The sequence below is a fragment of the Homo sapiens genome, chromosome 8 (assembly GCF_000001405.40).
Source record: "Homo sapiens chromosome 8, GRCh38.p14 Primary Assembly".
Lineage (NCBI taxonomy): Eukaryota > Metazoa > Chordata > Mammalia > Primates > Hominidae > Homo > Homo sapiens.
Genome location: NC_000008.11, coordinates 85,164,750 through 85,182,011, shown reverse-complemented (window position 1 = coordinate 85,182,011; position 17,262 = coordinate 85,164,750). Strand labels below are relative to the sequence as shown.

The 17,262-nt window shown below is 42.4% G+C and overlaps 1 protein-coding gene and 1 long non-coding RNA gene across 3 annotated transcripts in view, besides 3 other annotated features; one reads left to right on the top strand and one right to left on the bottom strand.

Moving 5' to 3' along the window:
• E2F5 (E2F transcription factor 5) overlaps positions 1-4,858 on the bottom strand; it is a 37,365-nt gene extending 32,507 nt beyond the window's left edge. For both annotated transcript variants that reach the window (NM_001951.4, NM_001083588.2), the window contains exon 1: positions 4,358-4,858. In NM_001951.4, coding sequence (NP_001942.2) covers positions 4,358-4,591 — 234 coding nt within the window. In that variant the 5' untranslated portion in view covers positions 4,592-4,858. The remainder of the gene's footprint in view (positions 1-4,357) is intronic.
• Positions 3,998-4,387: a silencer, noted in NCBI's record as "silent region_19334". NCBI's record gives its function as "represses an Ori minimal core promoter by ATAC-STARR-seq in GM12878 lymphoblastoid cells {active_cell/tissue: GM12878}" and the evidence as "EXISTENCE:reporter gene assay evidence [ECO:0000049][PMID:35858748]".
• Positions 4,398-4,927: a silencer, noted in NCBI's record as "silent region_19333". NCBI's record gives its function as "represses an Ori minimal core promoter by ATAC-STARR-seq in GM12878 lymphoblastoid cells {active_cell/tissue: GM12878}" and the evidence as "EXISTENCE:reporter gene assay evidence [ECO:0000049][PMID:35858748]".
• Positions 4,971-9,935, top strand: E2F5-DT (E2F5 divergent transcript). The gene is made up of 3 exons (NR_134311.1): positions 4,971-5,181; positions 9,540-9,574; positions 9,695-9,935. It is a non-coding gene; the product is annotated as an E2F5 divergent transcript (long non-coding RNA).
• Positions 5,028-5,197: an enhancer, noted in NCBI's record as "active region_27590". NCBI's record gives its function as "activates an Ori minimal core promoter by ATAC-STARR-seq in GM12878 lymphoblastoid cells {active_cell/tissue: GM12878}" and the evidence as "EXISTENCE:reporter gene assay evidence [ECO:0000049][PMID:35858748]".
• Positions 9,936-17,262: the final 7,327 nt, after the last annotated feature.

The following is a 17,262-nucleotide window of genomic DNA, read 5'->3' as shown; positions in this document are numbered from 1 at the left end:
ACAGCTTTATTAAAATTGATTTTCTATGTTGAGCCATGTTTTTTTTTTTTGAGACACAGTTTCGCTCTTGTCGCCCAGGATGGAGTGCAGTGGTGCGATCTCGGCTCACTGCAACCTCCGCCTCTTGAGTTCAAGCGATTCTCCTGCTTCAGCCTGCCAAGTAGCTGGGATTACAGGCGCCTCCACGACGCCTGGCTAATTTTTTTGTATTTTTAGTAGAGACGGGGTTTCGCCATGTTGGGCAGGCTGGTCTCGAACTCCTGACCTCAGGTGATCTGCCCGCCTCGGCCTCTCAAAGTGCTGGGATTACAGGCGTGAGCCACCACGCCTGACCGAGCCATGTTTTCAATTAGTTATATTATTAAGAAGAAATGGCCAGGCGCGGTGGCTCACGCCTGTAATCCCAGCACTTTGGGAGGCCGAGGTGGGAGGATCACGAGGTCAGAAGATCGAGACCATTCTAACACGGTGAAACCCCACCTCTACTAAAAATACAAAAAAAAAAAAAACAAAACTAGCCGGGCGTGGTGGCGGGCGCCTGTAGTCCCAGCTACTCAGGAGCCTGAGGCAGGAGAATGGCGTGAACCCAGGAGGCGGAGCTTGCAGCGAGTGGAGATCGCGACACTGCACTCCAGCTTGGGTGACAGAGTGAGACTCCCGTCTCAAAAAAAAAGAAGAAATGTGTCACTAAGATACAACCTTACGTTCTTATTCTCCAGCAGCATAAGATAGAAAAGAAATAGCATCTATGTGGTCTAGGATACTTTATGATATCCAAAATATTTGGATATTTTACTTGAAGTTTGATATACTTTTTTATTCTTTGGGATATTCAAAAACTGTTTCTTCAAGGCCGGAAGCGGTGGCTCACAGGGGAGACCAAGGTAGGCAGATAGCTTTGAGCTCAGGAGTTCGAGACCAGCCTGGGCAATATGGCAAAACCCTGTCTCTACTAAAAATATAAAAATAAGCCAGGCATAATGGTGTACGCCTGTAGTGCCAGCTACTTGGTAGGCTGAGGCAGGAGAATCACTTGAGCCCGGGAAGTGGAGGTTACAATGAGCTGAGATTGTACCACTGCACTCCAGCCTGGGCGACAGAATAAGACCCTGTCTCAAAAAACAAACAAGACCGGCCGGGCGCGGTGGCTCACGCTTGTAATCCCAGCACTTTGGGAGGCCGAGGCGGGCGGATCACGAGGTCAGAAGATCGAGACCATCCTGGCTAACATGGTGAAACCCCGTCTCTACTAAAAATACAAAAAAAATTAGCCGGGCGTGATGGCGGGTGCCTGTAGTCCCAGCTACTCGGGAGGCTGAGGCAGGAGAATGGCATGAACCCGGGAGGCGGAGCTTGCAGTGAGCCGAGATTGCGCCACTGCACTCCCGCCTGGGCCACAGAGCGAGACTCTGTCTCAAAAAAAAAAAAAAAAAAAAACAAGACCAACCAAAAAACCATATATATATATATATATATATATATATATATATATATATATATGTATAGTTTCTTTAACTGCGTTTAAAAGTCAAGTGTATAACTTAAAAGTTTCAAAAAAATTATGCTGAAATATGCCCCCACCAAAGTAAGAATACAAGAGAAAATGTGTCTTTATAATTTCAAATTAGAGGAAATTTATAATTGTCAGTGTGAGTCCATCTTTAATATGTATTATCAAACATGTCTTAATGGGCTGGGTATGGTGGCTCACGCCTGTAATCCCAGCACTCTGGGAGGCTGAGGCAAGCAGATCATTTGAGGTTGGGAGTTCGAGACCAGCCTGGCCAACATGGTGAAACCCCTTCTCTACTAAACATACAAAAATGAGTCGGGCATGGTGGCGGGCACCTGTAATCCCAGCTACTTGGGAGGCTGAGGCAGGAGAATCGCTTGAACCCGGGAGGTGGAGGTTGCAGTGAGCAGAGATCTGCCACTGCACTCCAGCCTGGGTGACAGAGCAAGACTCAGTCTCAAAAAAAAAAGGCTTTAACGATCTTTTACTATGGTGTATAATAAGAAATATCATTGGAAAGATTTCAATGTAAGATTTTTGGCCGGGCGCGGTGGCTCACGCCTGTAATCCCAGCACTTTGGGAGGCCGAGGCGCGTGGATCACAAGGTCAGGAGATCGAGACCATCCTAGCTAACACAGTGAAACCCTGTCTCTACTAAAATTACAAAAAAATTAGCTGGGTGCGCTGGCGGGCGCCTGTAGTCCGAGCTACTCGGGAGGCTGACACAGGAGAATGGCGTGAACCCGGGAGGCGGAGCTTGCAGTGAGCCCAGATCGCGCCACTGCACTCCAGCCTGGGCGACAGAGCAAGACTCCGTCTCAAAAAAGAAAAAAAAAAGATTTTTACATATATAAGTATATATAAATAAATGAAAAATATACGTAAAATACATAAAACATATGTTTTTCATACATATATATGAAAACTAAAGACATTCAAACTCTTTTCTAGGAGTATGAAGTCATTAATATAATGAGACAGTGTTATTGTAGAAACCTTTGAATTTTTAGGAGAGTTCCAGAATGAATAAAGCAATTATTGTCATGAAATACCAAACTTTACATCCTACTCACTGCCTCTGTGACTTCTGTAGGGCAATTATATAGCCACAGATGAAACAGGAGGAAGCTAAAGAATTTCAAGTCAAGAAAGGGCAAAGTTCCACCATATCCTGAGGCAAGCTGAGGGAGAAGCCCTCAAAGTCCAGCCGTCAGAGTTCAGTTTTACCTGGAAAACCCCAAACTTCCCTGATTTTCTTACACCAAAGTCACAGGCTACAGCTGAATTTCTAGATTTTGAACAGCAGTTTGCCACCTGTGCTTTGTAACATTCCTGGCTTTCTCTGATAACTTCATGACTTCCTGTGAAATTCTTTAAACAGAATCCATTTTAATTCACTACAATTTAAATACTACACATGCCATAAATCACTTTCAGGGAGAGAAAGGAAGAAGGGGCTGTGGTGGAAAAAAGAGAACAAGGAATTTCCAGAGGTGGGAAAAAAATTCCAGGAATAACATATCAAAAAGAAAATAGTAGAAATTACTTACCAAAATGCAAAATATGTGCAGCATGCCTCAGTTGTATGAAGTTGAACAATTTAGGTAATTCAGTTCAACAATCACTGATTGAACACCAACTACATCCAGGGAAAGGAGAGGGCACTGAAAAGATCTACTTCCCCTTGGGCTACACTGGAGGAGGGCCTCTAGCAGAAGAGTTGGCCCCTGCAAGTCTTGGTCCTTACATTCAGGGAGCTGCCACTGCTTTATGCAGAGCCTTGAGGATGCAGTGACACTCTCAAGCCAGGTAAGGTGGTCCAGGCACTCCCCTGGGAGCTGGGGCCAATCCTCCAAGTAAGGCCACATTTAGGGAGTCAAAGGGGATTTGCAGTGATTATTGGGCAGTTAGTGTTTTTTGTTTGTTTGTTTCTAAAACTTTAGTTCTTAAACTTCGCGCGGAGTGACCACATTCTCATTATCCTGAGCGCTGTTGAATTCTTCCAAATCCTTCCTAGATCGGTTAAGTCATTCTGTATGACAGAACAGCTTTTGATGCCTGCTCCTGTTTGAAAAATCTGAACGCTGTAAAGGACGACGCAGGGAGAGAGTTTACTGAGCACTTCCACCTCTTTGGGTGAAAGTTGTAAAATATCCCCTTTTCGTGTGACAGCAGATCTCACTTTTGGAAACCCATGACACATGCCAAATGAAGTCACAAATCAAATACCCCTCCTAACTATCAGGGTGATGAAAGAAGTGCACAAGGAAGATTTAATACTATTTTATCGGGGAGGGGCGTGGAAAGAAGTACTCTTTTTTTTTTTTCTTTCATCTGGTAGAGATGGCAGACTGGGTTTTGTTTTTCCTCCTTTTTATTTAAACTACAGGAACATGGTTCCAACTGGAATCGCCTATTAAAACCATCCATTCTTAACAGCAAAATCGATATCCACGGTGTCTCCGGGCAAAGCGCCCGTTACCCCGTGAGCCTCTGCCACAGGTGGACGCAGAGCAACAGACACTCGGTTACCCTCAGGTCCCTGCGCCCGGAGACAGAAGCCACGCGGGCGCGCTCGAGGTCCTGGGCTCTTTGTCGAGAGCCCAGCGTGGCGCCGGGCCCCATTGGTTACGCGTCCGCTCGGTGCCATCCTGGTCCCTCGTCCCTCCCCCATCCCGGCGTCCACGACCCGGGCGCAGGCCACATGGTCCTCGGATTGCCCGGTCCCGGGTCCCCGCAAGGCGCGTCTACACCACGCCGCTAGACCCACGCGGCGAGGGGCTGGGCTTCCCCGGGGGCCACGGGTTCCGAAGTCCGCCCCCGTCCCCGCCTCCGGAGCTCACCGCTTTGAGATCCAGAACGCCGTCCTTGGCCTCCTGCAGCAGCGACACGAACTTGGTAGTGAGCAGCCCCAGGCTCTTCTCGTGCCTGCTGCTGCCGCCCCCGGCGCCCCCGAGCTGCGGCGGCGGGGGCGGCTGCGGGGCTTGCGCCTGCGGAGGCTGCGGCGGCGGCCGCTGGCCCTGCCCCTGCCCTGCCGGCGCCTGCTGGCCCGAGCTCGCGGGCTCTGCCGCCGCCATCGCGTCCCGGCCCCGCGGTGGTCGGGCCCCCGCGCACTTTCGCTCGCCGGCCCCGCCCGCGGCCACCTGCCGGGTCGGCTCCGCTGCGGCCGCTTCCCCGCCCGCCGAGAGCGGTAGTGCGGGTCGCTGGCTGCTGCAAACAACAGGTGTGCGGCGCCCACGGGAGTCTGGGCCGCTTGTCACGCCGGGCCTCCGCCCCCTCCCCAAGCCCGGGGAAGCGTGAATGAGGCCCACGACCGAGGGGGGAGGGGTGGAAACGAGGAGAAGGGGCTGCGAGGGGTGGGGACCTGAGTTTAAATGGCAGGAAGTGACGCCGCCGCCCGCCGTTGCCTAGAAACACATTTTTCTGTAGGAAGGAGGAGCGCACGAGGAGGAGGAGGGGTGTTGGCGCGTGTGTTTCACACTCGCCTCCCTGGCGTTCGCGAGCTGACCCGAGGAGTGGTAATCTCACGCGGCAAAGCAGGGAGGAAGAAAAAAAGGAGACAAAAGAAAAAAAGACTTTTATCTGGGCAGAAAGTCACAATGCCTAGCGGCCAAACGTTTGTGAGCGGTGAAGTTGGTTGACTGCTCAAGTTTGCAGAGCTTCAGCAGTAGGTTACTTTCTCTGGACGGTTTCTGCTATCTTTGCTCTTTTCGAGCTCTAGCATCGTTTGCAAATATTTCAATGACTTGGACCAAGTGCAGAGTTTTACTTCATAGCTCACCCTTTTAGATTCGGAGTACAGAAAAAGGCATCGTGGAGTTTTAGGGTTGGTTTTCATCAATCCTTTCCAAGGCCTTTACTTTCTACATGGAGAAACGTGTAGAGGGAGAGGTTGTGAATTGCCAAAGACATGCCGTTAGATTCCAGATCTCCTGTGTTTGACCAAAGTTCTTGACCAAAGTTCTTAATATCTTATTTGAACCAAATTATATTGTATTTGGAATATTGGGTAGCCACAGGCCCTTGGACTTCAGTGATATTCCAAACTATTGATGGCAAATGACATTATGGAGATCTGAGTAAAAGAAAGTCGTTGGGATTTTTTCCTCATTATATTACAAACTCTTGAGAATCCAGACTAAATTTTAAATGACTTGTTGTCACACTCAACACTTTGAATATAGTAGACAATAAAGATTAGGCGAATGAGACCAGGCGCGGTGGCTTACGCCTGTAATCCCAGCACTTTGGGAGGCCGAGGCAGGCAGATCATTTGAGATCAGGAGTTCGAGACCAACCTGGCCAACATGGTAAAACCCCGTCTCTACTAAAAATACAAAAATTAGCGGGGGGTGGTGGTGCCCGCCTATAGTCCCAGCTACTCCAGAGCCTGAGGCAGGAGAATCTCTTAAACCCAGGAGGCAGACGTTGCAGTGTTGCAGTGAGCCGAGATGCCACCACTGCACTTCAGCCTGGGCAACAAAGCAAGACTCTGTCTCAAATAAAAAAAAAAAAGATTAGGTGAATGAAAATTCTATATGGCAATAATTAATCAAGAAGATTTCATGCAAGAAAGATTTTGCTTAATTTTAAGTAACAATAAACTAACAAAAAAGGTCACTGAAGCGACATCAAATACAACAGCATTAACTAGTAAAGCTGAACACACCATTTATAACACATCATAGGCACAGAACTTTATAACCTTTATTAATAACCTATTCATAATAACCTTTATTTTAATCAAATCTATAAACAAAACTTAAAATTGAAAATCTGAAGTAAAACATGAAAAATTCAGTTGATACAACCATTTTCCAACAACCTATCCAAGAAAGGCTATCTTTATTTGATTTGACATGGGACACATCATTGACAAGTTTTGCAAATTTATTTTATTGATTATTGTCAAGTAGTATTTCTTAGAACATACTGAATTAGGAAGATTCTAATTTGTTTTTAACTTTATAACAGAACATTGTGTTATATGTGCAGGGACAGGAATTAATAACACTAAATGTATTAATATTTTTAAAACTTACACTTCTATGGTGTCTTAGTTTGAGAAAGTACCATAAACTGGGTGACTTAACGGAAATTAATTTTCTCACAGTTCTGGAGGCTGCAAGTCGACGATCAGGAGGCTGCCATGGCCAGGTTGTGGTGAGGGCCCCCTTCTTGGCTGTCAGATTGTGGCTTTCTCATTGTGTCAAATGGCAGAGAGAGAGAGAAAGACAGACAGAACAGAGACAGCATAAGCTCTCAGATTTCTTATAAGGGCACTAATTCCATCTGAGGGCTCAATCTTCACGATTTCATCTAAACCTAATCACCTCCCAAAGGCCCGAGGGTTAGGGTTTCAACATACAAATGTTGGGGAGATATAGTTCATCCCATGGCATGTAATCATATTTTATAGTAGCTATCTTGGTAATTTTTAAAAACAATATTTTTTAAATTTCAGCTTTAAAAGGTTTTCTACAAAGCAATTATATTATTAGTGATTCTAAAAGGTCAATTAACAATTTATTTTGCACTGTTATTTGTGTTTTTCACAATGAATTTTTTATCTCTTTAGATTGCCTGGGGTTCAATTAGAAATTATTCACAAATTAGCAGCCATTTTAATTAGCATTCAAAATCTTATGTCTGTCTGAAGAGCTAAAAATCGCTTATACCAGTGGTTCCCAGACCTTAGGGGAAAAAATCATCTACAATGTTTGTTAAAAATCTAGATGCTTGGATCCAAACCCCAGGGATCAAATTAGCATTTGATATGAGAATATGACCTGTGAGTCCACATTTTTCACAGTTCAGATAATTCTCATGCACAACATAGTCATTCTTTGAGAAACGCCAAATAGCACAATGAAAAATAATGCAATATATATTTTTCCTAAAAATCGACAAAAAACAGAGATTGATAATGCAAAAGTTTTTTAAATATTGCTAAATGTTTTTAAAAATTCTATTTTTTAAAAAAACTAAGAAACATGATTTTTTAAAAGTTATGATACAAATAATGTTTAAGAACATGATATTGATCAGTTTTGTAATTTAACTTTTATTTCTGTATCCTTTTGACTATAAAGGAGATAACTCTCAAAAGGCTGTAAATTCCTACATCAGTTCTTTGTGCCATTTCTGACAAAGGCTTAAAAATTATTTCCAACAAAAGTCAAAGCTGGCTGAGTGCTCACGCCTGGCTGGGCACTCACGCCTGTCTGTAATCCTAGCACTTTGGAGGGCTGAGAGAAGAGGATTGCCTGAACCCAGGAACTCAGGACCAGCCTGGACAACATGGCAAAACCCCATTTCTACAAAAACTACAAAAATTAGCTGGGCGTGGTAGTGCACACTTGTAGTCCCAGCCACTAGAGAGGCTGAGGTGAGAGGATCACTTGAGCCCAAGAGGTCAAGGATGTAGTGACCTGTCATCCTGCCACTGCAATCCAGCCTGAGTGACAGAGTGAGAATCTATCCTAAAAAAAAAAAAAAAAAAAAAAATCCAATTGAACTAAACTATATTTCATTGACCTATAAGGGTAATAAATGCATAACAGTAATCCTTCATTAAATTCAATTTACGCTGATTAGTTGGGTAGATACTATTTTCAATTATAATATTGTTTATATGCCCCTGGTTAAATTTTCTTTTTTTAAATGCATTTTGGAAGTGCAGCTCCTTAGCTAGTTCAGGACTAAGAAGGAAGGCTTAAATATTTCAAAACAGAATGATTTCTTAGTCCACAGCTCATTAAACTTATAGTATCTAACATTTGTGGAATTTCACAAATGCCATTTTTATAGAGATTCAGGATCAATTTAAAATATGCACAGTTTTGTCATAATCTGGTAGTTAAATATTTAAGAAAATCCAACAAAATTTTACTTGTTTATTGATGATGACAGACTGACTTTTTTTTTTTTTTTTGAGATGGAGTTTTGCTCTTGTTGCCCAGGCTGGAGTGCAATGGCATGATCTCAGCTCACTGCAACCTCTGCTTCCCAGGTTCAAGAGATTCTCCTGCCTTAGCCTCCCTAGTAGCTGGGATTACAGGCATGCACCACCATGCCCAGCTAATTTTGTTTTTTTAGTAGAGGCAGGGTTTCGCCATTTTGGTCAGGCTGGTTTTGAACTCCTGACCTCAGGTGATCCACCCACCCTGGTCTGCCAAAGTGTTGGGATTACAGGCATGAGCCACCATACCTGGCCATGCAGACTGATTTTTTAAGTGCATTAGCCCATTCGGTGATCATGAATGGTTGGAACTTTAGACTCTCAGATGCCCTTTGAGCTAACAAATCTCCATCAAAAGACTGCTACATCAACCCTAATACCTTCTTCTTGTAATCTAAGTTAATGAAAATAAAATACAGTTTTCCATTTTTCCTTTCAAAACCTTGCAACATACAGGCCAGGCACGGTGGCTCACACCTGTAACCCCAGCACTTTGAGAGGTCAAGGTGGGTGGATCACCTGAGGTCAGGAGTTCGAGACCAGCCTGGCCAACATGGTGAAACCCTGTCTCTACTAAACATACGAAAAATTAGCGAGCATATTGCCATGCGCTTGTAATCCTAGCTACTCAGGAGACTGAGGCAGGAGAATCACTTGAACCTGGGAGGCAGAGGTTGCAGTGAGCCGAGATCGCACCATTGCACTCCAGCCTGGACAACAAGAGTGAAACTCCGTCAAAAAAACAAACAAACAAACAAAAAACCTTGCAACATACAAACATCTATCTTCTGCACTTTCTATGTTAAAAAAAAAGATATGTTTCAAAGATTATGAATCTTTTTATTATGATAAACAACAACATTCTTTGCCCACTCATGATATGCTTGGTACAAAACTATGAGAGAAAATGCATAGACTTTGTCTTCAGAAGTTTGTATCCTATAAGTAGAAACAGGAAATGCAGATTACTCTCAAGCATACATAGAAATATAATTCATACACTAAAGAGATTTCAAGTTTTATTTAGCAACTTGTACTCTACCTTTTTGCAAAACTTTATGAAGATTGCATCACTAAAGAGAGCAAGCACACAGATTTGGTAAGTTCAGTAATGTTTACAAAATAATAGGTGATGCATGCCAACATTGTTAATACTGAGATTAGGAGGGGCTTTCCAGGACTTAAGTTACAAATCAATGTTCTCTTCACCACTATTCAGGAAAAAAAAAAATCTGACGATCAAAGAAGCCCCTCCTCACACTACCAAAGGTTTAAAGACAACGGAAAAAAGTGGTATAGACAGATCCTCAAAGCCTCTCACCATGTCCTATTCTCAATGAGACATAGCCTAAGAAAACGGAATCTAAAAGCAAGACAGATACATTACCAACAAATACAGTAGTTTGTAGATGAAAACAAAAAATGATTTAACAAAAATAAAATAATCCATTGAAAGCTGATACGGGTTTGGATGTTTTGTCCTGTTCAAATCTCATGTTGAAATGTGATCCCCAGTGTTGGAGGTGGAGCCTGGTGGGAGGTGTTAGAGTCAGGGAGGCAGGTCCCTCATGAGTGTCTTGGTGCCCTCCTAGTGGCAATGAGTGAGTTCTCACTCTGAGTTCAAAAGCTGGTTATTTAAATCAGCCTGGAATTTCCTCCTCTCACTCTTGCTCCATCAATCGCTGTGTGACACAATGGTTCCTCTTGCCTTCCATCATGACCAGCAGCCTCCTGAGACCCTCACTAGAAGCAAATGATGGAGCTATGATTGCACAGCGTGTAGAATCATGAGCCAAATAGCCCTCTTTTCCTTATAAATTTTCCAGCCTTAGGTATTCCTTTACAGCAACAAAAATGGGCTAACACAAAAACTATGGCACTGCAAGAGCAGACTATGGCAGGGTGCAACTGGGTAGGAGAGAAGAAATCATAACCATGAAGCATGTTGAAAGAATTGTCTAATAGAGGTAATATTGCCAGGCTGTGATTGAAATCCTAGAAAGAATTCAAAGATTCTTATAATGTTGGACCTAGACCCCCAACTTCTCAAGGTTGTAGAAACAACTATTTCATTAGGTTTAAATAAAAAGATATTCCAACAGTTTAAAGAAATGGAGAAAAAACAAATTGCATCTATAAATCACATGCTTATTTAATCTGTAGTATAATGACTGCAGTTGGTACATTCCTTGAAGGAAGACAAGGCAAAATTTAGTCTAATTGCAGATGTAACGACTTTTCTTCTAAATTTCACTTTTACAAAACCTGGTAAGAGCCCTTGTGGAAAACTGCACAGCAACCCCTTGGTGGAAAGAAACTGATACAGTGTATTCCTATGGGAAAATAATGTTTTGCTTGGGTGAGTCTCAGATAAGACACCACAGATTGATGCCCCTGTAATTCATTCTCAGTATGTGTATAAACCAGAGAGAGGGTGCCTGCTACAGAAAGGATTCTTTTCATCTCTTTAAAGCCTGAACATATGCTCAACAAGACTCTGGGGCAAGGATCAGTGTGTTTATATTTGATTCTTGCCTTGGTTTCATAAGTTCTAATAAGGAGGTGTTTGTTTTGCATTGTAGGTGGTATCCCTGTATGCCTGAACCAGCAGGTCTTTCAGGAAGTAAGAACTGGGTGAGAGATTTTGGTAAAGCGCTCTAGGAAAGATAAGGTATGAGCTATCTGATGGGAAGAAATTAGATCAGACTGGGACTTATATCCCAAGCTGTGACAATAAATGTTGGGAATACCAGCATGACTGGGACATAATTAAAGAACACAGTCAGATTCTAGGGACCTTTTAACAGCTGTATTAGATTTATGAACTCCAGAGGAGGCACATTGACAAAAATGGTGGTTACATCCACCACACTGCATGGAATGTATAATTGTGAGTCAAGCCTTAGGATTAGGCATAGTGAATGAGACCCCTTGTTCTCCCTCTCTCCACCAATATTACCAAGGAGTAGCAATACTATATCTCCAAAAGAAGTTAAAAAATAAAGAAGATAATTAGGGATCGCCATTAGAGTTCCATTCTATCTCTTTTGAATCCTCCAGTTATTTATGATCATCCCATAAATCATAAATTAGGTGGGATATCAAGACTTCTTAATGGAAATCTACCAACTGAGTTAAGTAGTCACAATATTGGCATCTTTACTCTCCTACACCTGGAACATGTGGATTCATCTACTATTTGTCAGAGATTTATTTACTGGGACTTGCAATGGTGATATCAACCTAAGGATATTTACTCTTTTTTTTTTTTTTTTTTGAGACAGAATCTCACTCTGTTGCCCAGGCTGAGGTGCAGTGGCAGAATCTCAGCTCACTGCAACCTCCGCCTCCTGGGTTCAAGTGATTCTCCTGCCTCAGCCTCCTGAGTAGCTGGGATTACAGGCGCGTGCCACCACGCCCGGATAATTTTTGTATTTTTAGTAGAGATGGGGTTTCACTATATTGGCCAGGCTAGTCTTGAACTTCTAACCTCAAGTGATTCACCCGCCTCGGCCTCCCAAAGTGCTAGGATTACAGAAATGAGCCACCATGCCTGGCCGGGTATTTACTTTTATCCATTCCACTGACAATATTTAATGTTAATAGAGTTTAATAAAGGAAGCTAGCAACTTTTCTTTATCCCCTAATACCTCAACAAAAAAAGAAAGGGGTTAAACTGTTATCCCCCCAAGAAACTCCGGGTCTGGCCATGTGAGTGACCATACTGGGATCCCAAGGGATGACAGCAATAGACTTTTTTCTAATTATCTTCCAGAATGTTAAACCGGAAACTGTTTCCCTAACATCTCAATCTTGAAGGAGCTCAGCAGTCTTGGAGAGAGCATATCTTGACTTTGGGAATTTGGTGAGTTGTATGCACAAGCTGGAAAATAAATGCATAAACATAAGTACATAACAGTACATAAACTGAAAGACTAGGGACTTTGAGTTGAGATACTTTTATTTATTTATTTAGAGTCTCGCTCTGTTTCCCAGGCTGAAGTGCAGTGGTGGGATCTCAGCTCACTGCAACCTCCACCTCCCGGGTTCAAGCAATTCTCCTGTCTCAGCCTCCCAAGTAGCCGGGACTACAGGTGCCTGCCATCATGCCTGGCTAATTTTTGTATTTTTAGTACAGACAGCATTTCACCAGATTGGCCAGGCTGGTTTCAAACTCCTGACCCCAGGTGATCCACCCGCCTCAGCCTCCTAAAGTGCTGGGATTATAGGTGTGAGCCACCACACCTGGTCTGAGGTACTTTTAAATCAAGATTTTGGATTAAAGGATAGGATGCAGAGTAGGCAGCCCTTCTTGGAACCCATGACCCAGACAGCCAAATGATTTGTAAAACCTCTGCCATCTTTTGAATAATCTCTAGACAAACTGCACGCACACGCATACAGTATGGGTCAATATAATGCCAACTTCCCTATCACACAATGACCTGAGCTGCCTATTATGAACTGAGGGCTATCAGCACCTCTTTCTCACAGATAAGTGAACCTAATACTTTGTCAGGAAATAGAAATAGAATATTCAAGATTATATAAATGGTAACTAAGTTTCGCAGAGTGTTTGCTACCTTAGTGCACAGTAAGGATTCCACAGGTATCCTCATTTGTACATATCCATGTGATATTAGAGAACTACTCATTCCCTCCAGTAGGCTGAAGTAGATATAGATTAAACAGCAATAGAGAGTGCCATTGAGAATGCCACAAGGAATCCTGGATCCTTATCTATTTATGGAATATAGCTAATATTATAGCTAAGTGGTCAGAACTGAAAAATTAGGAGTTTTAGGAATTGGTTCAGGCAAAAATTGGACTCATTGTCAGATCTTACTCAAATTCATGTGTCACATATAGACGGATACCTGAAAAATAAAGGATAGGAAGCATATAAAATAATACTGCCAATTTGGCATTGCCAAATACAGATGAGTACAACTTAACCCGAAGTAGATGCTATAACATTAATTTATCTATTGTAGTTTTGAAATAGTTCCAAGGATGGATGATGTGTTAATAAGGATGGCCTAGATTATGTTACAATAACAAATAAGATCTCACATCTCAGAAGCTTAAAATATCATCATCTGCAGTGAAAACGTATTGACCGGAACTAGTTGCATGGACCCACCCAACCACAATGGTGCCATGAAATGTGCCTCAAATGGAACGAAACTCAAATACTTACAAACAGCACTAGTGATGGCATGTTTGTGAAATGAGATGGCATAGACACTGTTGTGGCAAATCACTTCAACTACCAGCAAAAGAAGTCAGACTTAAGGAATACATCAGTGAGGTAAACAGGCAGAATTTGCTAAGAAAACTACATAGGAGCTCGCCAGCAGAGAGGCCTATAAAGGTCTTATCTAGGGTAGATATTTAATAAGAATTTTAGTTTTCATACTCAGTGATAAGATCCATAGCTGAAGTAAACTGCAGAGAGCTCTAGGCCGTTGCTACTCAAACTTGAGTGTAAATCCGTCACCTAGTGCATTTGTTAGGACTGTAGATTCTGGTCGGGTGCGGTGGCTCATGCCTATACTCCCAGCACTTTGGGAGGCAGAGGTGGGCAGATCACTTGAGCTTAGGAGTTCGAGACCAGCCTGGTCAATATGGTGAAACCCCATCTCTACTAAAAATACAAAAAATTAGCTGGATGTGGTGGTGCAGGCCTGTAATCCCAGCTACTTGGGAGGCTGAGGTGGGAGAATCACTTGAACCCGGGAGGCAGAGGCTGCAGTGAGCCAAGATGGCGCCACTGCACTCTAGCCTGGGTGACAGAGCAAGGCTGTATCTCAAAAATAAATAAAAGTGTAGATTTTTATTCAGCAAGTCTGGGGTGGTGCCTGAGAATCTGCATAACTAAGAAGCTCTCAAGTTATGTAAATGCTCCTGATTTTCTGATCACACTTTGTTTTGTTTTGTTTTTCTTCAGCTTTTATTTTTAGTTCAGGAGTACACAGGAGGTGCAGGTTTATTACATAGGTAAACATGTGCTGTGATAGTTTGTTGCACAGATCATCTCATCATCCAGGTATTAAGCCCAGTATTCATTAGCTATTCTTCCTGATGCTCTCTTTCCACCTGATGGCCCTCCTCCCCCATAGGCCCCGGTGTGTGTTGTGTGTTTTTCCCCACCATGTGTCTATGTTTTCTTATCATTCAGCTCCCACTTATAAGTGAGAACATGCAATGTTTGGTCTTCTGTACCTGCATTAGTTTGCTGAGGATAATGGCTTCCAACTTCATCCATGTCCCTGCAAAGAACATGATCTTGTTCACTTTTATGGCTGCATAGTATTCCATGGTGTATATGTACAATATTTTCTTTATCCTGTCCTATCAGCAATGGACATTTAGGTTGATTCCATGTCTTTGCTTTTGTGAATAGTGATGAAATGAACATAACATATGCACGTGTCTTTACAATAGAATGATTTATATTCCTCTGGGTGTATACCCAGTAATGGGATCTCTGGGTCAAATGGTATTTCTGCCTCTAGATCTTTGAGGAATCACCACACTGTCTTCCACAATGGTTGAACTAATTTACAATCCCACCAATAGTGTAAAAGCGTTCCTTTTTCTCCACTTCCTCACCAGCATCAGTTGTTTTTTTTTTTTGACTTTTTAATAATAGTCATTCAGACTGGCATGAGATAGTATCTCATTGTGGTTTTGATTTGCATTTCTCTAATCTCTGACCACACTTTGAGTAGCCAAATTCTAAGCTGTTACAACACACCATTATGTTGTTTTTCCAGAATACTGCTTCTGGTTATAAACTCTATTAAAAGAGCAGGCTTATAAATGGGGAATCAAATCACAGTATTATTTGTACTTACTGCCAATGGGATCATGGGATGGTATACTATAGAGACATGAAGTTTCAAAAGCCAAAGAAATTAACACTGGAAAGATTACTACCCATATTATAAGAAGTAGAACATGAATTAAATCAAATATACTTTCAGATCTTAATTTCAATTAGGACACTAGTGTTCCTTCAAAGGGTAAAAATCTCCCTGGATACCATTTTCTTTCTCCCTTGAGCATTTACATGGATATGAGACAATATTGAAATGTGGAAATGCTAACAGTGTATCAAAATGGGACTCAAAACCTGGTGATACAATAAATGTTGTGGAGGAACAGAGAGGATAGAATGGAATAGAATTGACTAATTCTATAAATACTATTTTAAAGTGGAATGCAGAAGAAATTTGTAAGCAATATGCCTAACTGCCCTCTGCAACATCTGAAGGCATTTGGAGGGTGGTTGTCATAGCTGAACAACCATTCCAAGAAAATATTTCATGAGGCCGGGCACAGTGGCTCACACCTGTAATCGCAGCACTTTGGGAGGCCAAGGCAGGAGAATTGCTTGAGCCTCAGAGTTCAAGACCAGCCTGGGCAACATGGTGAGACCTCATCACTAAAAATAATTTTAAAAAATTAGCCAGGCATGGTGGCATGCGCCTGTCGTCCCAGCTACTCAAGAGGCTGAGATGAGAGGATCACGTGAGCTGAGGCGGCTGAGGCTGTAGTGAGCCAAGATCATGCCACTGCATTCCAGCCTTGGTGACAGAATAAGACCCTGTCTTAAGAAAAGAAAAGAAAGAGAGAGAGAGAGAGAGAGAGGAAGGAAGGAAGGAAGGAAGGAAGGAAGGAAGGAAGGAAGGAAGGAAGGAAAAAAGGAAGGAAGGAAGGAAATATTCATCAAACTCTAAAATATTTACAAAGTGATATTCTTGGGTGAAGGAATTCACCATCAGGAAACAGTACCATTTATACTAAGAAAGCAAGAAACGGTCTAAAGACTTAGATGGTACAAGTAGCAGGGCAACATATATTGGAATAACATATGAGAGAGCAACTGAAGTGATAAAATCACCAAGTTGAGTGTTTCTATCATTCTGGAGGGCTAAAGTAGTGGTCTTCTAACAGGAAAGTACTTCCCACTTTCACTCCAAAGGTTTGTTCTTGGGTAGTGTACTTGTTCCCAGTCAACAAAAATTTCAATGGTTTAAATGCAGCTAGGTATAAATTGCCATAACCTTGAAACAGATTCCAGGTGGAGTACAGTAAGTTGCCTATACATTCTGTAGTGGTGGCTTAAGTGAAGCAGAAATGTTATGTAAAATATGTAGAAATAAAGATTCTAAGTTGGTATTGTCTTTAAAACATCACTTTGTAGATTGTTGGCAGTCAAAGTGGACAAAGAATGGGTGAACTCTAAGTATTGCACTGGATTACTGGATTATCATCTAGAGGCTGATGAAAAATACATGGCTTGACCAAATATAGTTGGCCACCAAAGGATAAAGCGTTAAAAGATAACAATGCTGACACATTTAATCCAGAAAGGCACACAAAGGTACAAGTTCTCATTGATAGTTAGCTTGACAGTGCCTATTGTGGACAAGAAACTATTAAGGAGGAGGAAATGCACCATAACCATCTACCACTAGCAATATGGCCAGAGATGATACTTGATATCTCATTTATCTTAGTGGTTCAAAGAGGAAATCCAGGTGGTCCTGGCCATCCAAGTCAGCCCATTCCGTTGATACAGGTGTTTCAGGTAGTACAGATTGGGGAGATACTTATTGCCAGGTGTTATTTTTAAGTTATGGCTTCCAGAAATTATCAGCATACTACTAACCACATAGGATGAGTTTGGAGGTGTTTCCTCCGTCTCCACTTTCTAAAAGACTTTAGGTAGGGACTGGTGTGATGGCTTATGCCTGTAGTCCCAGCATACATACTCCC